The sequence below is a fragment of the Homo sapiens genome, chromosome 11 (assembly GCF_000001405.40).
Source record: "Homo sapiens chromosome 11, GRCh38.p14 Primary Assembly".
Taxonomy (NCBI): Eukaryota; Metazoa; Chordata; class Mammalia; order Primates; family Hominidae; genus Homo; species Homo sapiens.
Window position 1 is genome coordinate 79,674,505 of NC_000011.10, and position 6,835 is coordinate 79,681,339.

Consider the following 6,835-nt stretch of genomic DNA (forward strand, 5'->3'; position numbering starts at 1 on the left):
TCTGTAAAATATAGAGAACAGTATCTAGAATACAGAAAATACTCAGGAAATATCTATTGTTAATATTATTATTATTATTGTTGTTGTTTACCAAGCTATTAGTTTCTAGGCATCTACTTGTTTTCTGCCATACAGCAAATGTTGAATGAATAACTTGTGAATAACTTGTGTATGTGTACCTCTGAAATGTTTAAAAACTCCAAATGAAACTAATTTAAATTCATATATACTTAAGTATATTAATGTTCATGAATAATTCACATGAACAAATATGTGTTTTTCAATTGATTTTCTTTGGAGATTGCATTGAGAATTTCACAACAGCTCTTGAAGTAACTGGAGAAGCAGTGGCAACTACCACAAAACCAGAAACAGGAATGGCTTAAGTCAATTAGAAAATTCATTTGCTTTTAAATTCAACAGTTGTCTACTCTCTGCCTGCTCTGGTTTAGCACCTAGAGAGCCTCCTACCACGTGAGTCTCCAGAGTGAAAGGTGACCCTTTCCTCTGACCCACAGGAACCCCCCCATAGTCTGAGCCCAACATACAGCAGCAGCTTCATTTCCAACCCTTGCTAAGAGCCTGGGTACTGCAATCAGAAGGTCTTTGTTTAGATTCTTGTTCTGACCCTTGCTAGGTGTGTAATCCTTCTGGGCCTTAGTTTACCATGTACAAAATAGAACAATAAGGATATTCCTCATACTGAGTTATTGTGAAGCTTGGTTGTGTAATGATCCAGGTGAAGTGCTTAGCACAGAGCTGAACACATGGTACATGATCAGTAAGTGTGATTCATCATGTCATCCCAGTTCACCTAACAGTCTAGGCACGTTGTCTTCTTAACGGAGCTTCTTCAACACTACACAATTTTGCACCTGCTCTTCATACCACACAGTCCTTTTTCATGTCTTCTATTTTATTTATTAATTTTTTTTGAGACTGAGTCTCTGTCACTCAGGCTGGAGTGCAGTGGTGCAATTGTGGCTCACTGTAGTCTCAATCTCCTTGGCTCAAGCAATCCTTCCACCTCAGCCTCCAGAGTAGCTGGGACTACAGTCACATGCCACCATACCCAGCTAATTATTTTTATTTTTTGTAGAAACAGGGTCTTCCTATGTTGCTCAGGCTGGTCTCAAACTCCTGGGCTCAAGCGATCCTCCCGCCTCAGCCTCCCAAAATGCTGGGATTGGAGATGTAAGCCACCACGCCTGGCCTGGATAAAATTCTATTTATTCATCAAGAGTCATCACAGATAACACCCTAATGAGATATATGACAGGACATAATCATGCATTCTGAGTTTATTTTCTTTTTGGGGAGACAAACAAGTAAACAATAGTACTAACAACAACAGAGAACATTATGAGTGAATTACTTAGAGGACCCTTTACCAAGCACCCATATATTTTACTAGCCTGGAATATTTGACATGTCTTTCCGTCTACCATTCAATCTAAGTGAGCCCATTATTAACAAAGACCCTGAGAAGAGAATCCTATTCTCTTAAATTGAGGTGGAATGTCAGATCATTGCTGAGTCCAGGAGGGACTGATATTTGTTAAGTATCTACCATCTGTTGGTACTTAAGTATGAGGGCCTTATATGTCCTCATCTTTAGTCCTTACTACAACCCTAGGAGGTAGATAGTGGTATTGATTTTACACAGGAGGAAACTGAGGGACAGAGATGCTGTGTTACTTGCTTGCGGTTATACAGTGGATATGCAGTGGCTTTGGGATTTGAACTCAGGTCTCTCTGCTGACAAAGTCTGTGTGTTTCTCTAGGTTTTGCTGGAGAGGAGCTAGAGCAGTAGCTAGAGCAGGAGCTAGAGCTAGAGCAGGAGCTAGAGGAGTTTAGGGGGTGGATAGAAGATACAGTGAGGAGTTGGGGCAGGCAGGAAAGCCAAACTTTTTATCTTTGCCAATCTTATAAAGGGCTGATCCTGACTAAAACTCTGCCAGGTGTACATTAATAATAGAAAAACATTTCTGTGTAGACTCATTTTGTTTGCAGAATGGAAATTACTACGTCATGGTCACACACACAAAAACGTGTTTTATTTGGAAACCAAGAACTTTGATCATCTTGTGAATTCATATTGAATTACACCTGGCATGTTGGAGAGCCTGTTTTAGACCTAGTCATTCCTAAATTAGAATCCAGATTCTGACACATGAGTTGTCAGGCTTGAGGCCAATGACTTAATGGAGCCTCAGTTGCCTCATCTGATATGAAGTTATTGATGGTATCAACTCAGAGGTCTATAAAATGAAGTGTGATTAGGAATGCATATATAATTTATCATTTAAACAGGAACATGTGAGAAGTAGGTTGGGGGTATTGGTCCTGTTAAGAATCTTACTGGGACAAGTGTAAACTGATACTGAACAAATTAGATTGTATTGCCACACCAGGTATGATCTGTAAGAAGTGTCTAGCCCACTACTTTCTATCTTGTTAAGTGCCAGCAAATGCTCTTCCTTGACGGTATTTTAAGTACAATCCCAAAATTAAGCGACTTTGTCCTGTTTAAAATTTTCTGAATGTGTTAGACTCACAGGCAGGGTTCTATTAGTTATTCATGTTCTCAAGTGTGACAGACCAGTGAACGTGTAGAGACTAATCAGAACAATGAAAGAGGCTTCTCAGTGCAGTTAGAAGAAAAGAGGATTCATTCAAAGGGAAGAAAAAAGAAGTATGCACTGTAATCTTTTTAAAAACAAAAAGAGAACATACCAGCTTCAGATCAGAAGATGGGAGGGGGGATGTAAAGGAACAAAAGACAGTAAGTTAGAGCAGTCCATTTATTAACCAACATCCACGAAGGAGTGAAGGTGGAGAGGCCAGACTACCCCAGCAAGCTGAGGCACCTTCAGCAACTGCTAAACAATACGCTGGCAGATCCAGCAGGGGATAAAGGTAGACTAAATACTAGGATTTTGTTGTTCCTGACAGTAGATACTTAACAAATGTTAGTTTCCTTTCTTTCACTTCATTTGTGGTAAGGATTGATAAAATAATCTGAGAAGCTGGTTTATATTTTATACCCATAGCCTAATAGCTGCTGAATGGAGTAGAAGTTGATGATCACTAATGCCTACCTAATCATTAGATCTCCATTCATTTCTCCCTTCCCTTACCTTCTTCTTCTCTATCCTCCTTTCCTTCCCCCTCTCCCCTCATCCCTTCCTCTCTTCCTTCCTTCCATCCTCAGCCATTTATTGAGCCAGGAACAGAGGATATGGTGGTGAATAGAAAGGCCTGCAATTTTTCAGGAAGACAGACACTGAGCAGATAATTAACTGCAGTGGTGTCGGGTATCTTGAGATCTGAGTCGACTCCTCACTTTGGGCCCTTCATTTTTGATATGTGTTTGACATGTCCATGTGGCTATTCGCAAAGCATCTCAAACACAACATGTCCAACCCTAAACTCGTGACCTTCCCCTCACATCCAGATCTTCCTGATTTACCTGTCAGAGGTGATGGTATCACTTGGTCAACCCAAGCCAGGAGAAGCCTCAGGGTTACTTTTGACTCTTTCCTCTCAATTCCTTTAATTCTATGTATTACTTTTATTTATTTATTATTATTATTATTATTTTTGGCACAGGGTCTCACTCTGTCACCCAGGCTGGAGTGTAGTAGTGCAATCTTGGCTCACTGCAACCACTGCTTTCCAGGTTCCAGTGATTCTCCAGCCTCAGCCTCCTGAGTAGCTGGGACTACAGGTGCCCACGACCATGCCCAGCTAATTTTTGTATTTTTTGTAGAGGCAGGGCTTTGCCACACTGCCCAGCCTGTTCTCGAACTCTTGACCTCAAAGCAATCTGCCTGCCTCAGCCCCACAAAATGCTAGGATTACAGGCATGAGCCACTGCACCTGGCCAGTCTATGTGTTATTAAGACTTGGGTTCTCCTACTATATTTTGTCCTTTTGTTTTTGTTGATGATGAAGATGACAAGTCAGTGGGGAGGGTGGCTACAGAGGGGAAGGGGAGCTATCTGTTCACCCTGCTTTATTGGAATAATAGTGTCTTATTTGCTAATTTTTTTCAGTCAATGACAAGAAAATCAACAACATATCCACCAGGACACACTTCACCCTTCATCCCTTCATCCCGCCATATCTATCATCTATTTACCATTTGAGTAATGAGAGGAATAAGCAGCTTCATAATTAATCTCATTTTCCCTGAGTGTTTGGAGTTAAAAATCATTTGCGTTTCCACAATGGTCCAGCAATCCCTTATCCCATCCATCAGTTGGAATGGTAAATTGGCTGCCCAGTTTCCATCTGATCTTTAGTTGAATAACTGCATGTCATCATCACAAATTTGCAGTTTGGCCTAGAGCTTGTTTTGGAGGGGCTTTGCTTCTTTACTAAAGTGTTTCCGATTTTAACTTTATGTTATATCCACGTACAGGGTGTGACAGTGTGTGTGTGGACAGAGAGAGGGAGAGAAGTAGCTGGGGGTGGCAGTGGGAAAGATGTAGAAATGAAGGTGTTGGAACTGCAGACGCACACACACCACTAATTAAAATGGGGAAATAGCATTCTTTCACTTGCAGCCACAGGCAATGAACGTTCCTTGAAAAAAAAAAAAAAAACTGGAGCCTCTAATACTCAGACATTTGCAACTGGATAATAACTTTGCAAAATGTGACTGACAGTTACCAGATTATCTCCTTAATCACACTTTTGTTTCCATTAAGCAGGGCTTATGCTCCCAGCAGGTTTCAAACATGTGTTAATGTTGAACATCCCATGGAAGAATCAAAGAGCTGTAGGGACTGGAGCTTTGTGGAGGGACTCTGCAAACAGAAAGATTCTGGGGTGAGGGTCAGGAAAACCAGTGTGGAGCAAAAATAGCTTCAGCCTGCTCTGCACTGGTTGCACTAAATTCACCCCCTGCCCCCCACTCCTATGACGTCTCAGAAAGTCAGGAGCATCAGTGAAAGATGATAGAAATGCAGGGGAAAGCATGAAAATCAGTAAACCCTGCAGAAATTTTGTTGTCTTTTTGTCTTAAAAAAAATCTTGGGATTCCAAAAGTCAGTTGTTTTAATGGACTAATCCTCAGAGATTTAATATATCATTTTATTGAGTCTTCTTTGTTTCACTCCAAATGTCTAACAACTCTGAATAGTTAACCTGGCTATAAACCCTCTGAAAGAGAGGAAAATGATCAGAGTACCAGTCTTTGTGGTTTAAAACAGAGCCCCCAGTAAGATCCAGGGTACCTTAGGAGTTACTAGAGCCTCTTTGTAGAAGTTTGCAAAGGGCGGATACTGGGAAATTAACACTAGCTAGGAGTCTATACTAGGTGCAGTGTGTATACTAACTTGGCCAATCTGTACTCTGGAATCTATTATTATCCTGTGTTGGAGATGAGGAAACTGAGCCTCAGATCCATTAACTTGCTCAAGGAACCACATTGAGGAAATCATGTTGTCAGAATTTGCACCCAGATCCTCCTGGAGCAAAGTGCACAGGAGTTGTTATTGGAGGGTTTCTCTCTAGATCCCAATTTAAAAGATTCCCCTTTCCTCTTCCCCATACCTCCCCTTTCTCTTTCTTCTCCTCCTTTTTCTTCTTGCTTTTAAAATTTTCTTCCAATTTCCAAATGTGTGGGTATTTTCCACTAGCTTCTCCACATCCATTTCCCACGCTGATCTGTGCCTCATAAAATAGCCACCCTTGCTTTCTGGCTTTGAATTATGTTTGGCCAATAGCAGGCACTGTCAGTGGACTGGACGGAGGGAATTTATTTCCCCGGCTCCCTCCCTACCTTCCCTGCTGTGGTGGTTGCCCATGTCCTGTCAGGTGGTGTCTTCTACATCAGCTCCAAATTCCCAACATTTCCCAAATGTTTTGATGTCAGGATCCCTTCATGCTTTTAAAAATGGTTGAGGAACCCCAAAGAGCTTTTGTTTAATTTTCTTGATGTTTACGGTATTAGAAATTAAGACTGAGAAATACTCAAACACAAGAATACACAGATGTATATTCCATCAGCCATGAGAGCAATGACATCATCACAAGTCAGGTAGTGTCCGAAAAACTTCACTATGTACTCATGAGAGGATGAGAGCGAAGAAGGCAAATGATGTCTTAGTATTATTATGAAATAGTTTTGGCCTTGGGGACACCTAGTAGAGTCTCAGGAACACCCCACAGGTTCACCCTTCCCAAACTGCTCCTTCAGGGTTGCTCTGGGTTGCTTTTCCATCTTTTGTTGACTCTCCTTACTCTGCCTAAAACTCCTTATTACTCTCTTGATGCAATTCTCCTCGATTTCTCCATTTGAGCGTGGGATCTGTTTCCCTAGGAGACTTGACTCCTCACGGGCTGACATATGGCTGGGATTTTACCTTGGAGGAAGGGTCAGGTCAGAAGCAGCTCAGAAGTGCTGGGGGCAAAGAAAAACATTTCTTCCACTGGCAATTACCTTTATTCTGCAAACTTCAATTCATATTGTATTATGTATTGTAAGTAATCTAGAGGCGATTTAAAGTATACACGAGGAAGTACATAGGGTTATATGCAAATACTATGCCATTTTACATAAAGTGCTTGAACATCCATGGATTTTGGTATCTGTGGGGGAAAGGGGGTTGGTAGCATTTCCTGGATCCAATCCCCTACAAGTACAAAGGGATGACTGTATTTATAATTTCCTCATAGATCAAAGGTAGTGTCTAGAATCAGAGCGATAACCACTTCTTTGTGCCTGACCCTGGCCAGGACATAAGAGATCTGTTTCTTTTTAGAGCGGTAGACAAACCAAAGCATTTTCAGAGGAGGACAGGTAGGATTCCAGAAACCAAATTCA

The 6,835-nt window shown here is 41.2% G+C and overlaps 2 annotated features.

Moving 5' to 3' along the window:
- Nucleotides 757-978: a silencer, noted in NCBI's record as "fragment chr11:79386305-79386526 (GRCh37/hg19 assembly coordinates)". NCBI's record gives its function as "represses an EF-1alpha promoter that drives an FKBP-Casp9 reporter gene in an ReSE screen in K562 erythroleukemia cells {active_cell/tissue: K562}" and the evidence as "EXISTENCE:reporter gene assay evidence [ECO:0000049][PMID:32094911]".
- Nucleotides 4,167-5,001: an enhancer, noted in NCBI's record as "OCT4-NANOG hESC enhancer chr11:79389715-79390549 (GRCh37/hg19 assembly coordinates)". NCBI's record gives its function as "activates a minimal SCP1, AML or CMV promoter by ChIP-STARR-seq in naive H9 embryonic stem cells {active_cell/tissue: H9 hESC(naive)}" and the evidence as "EXISTENCE:reporter gene assay evidence [ECO:0000049][PMID:30033119]".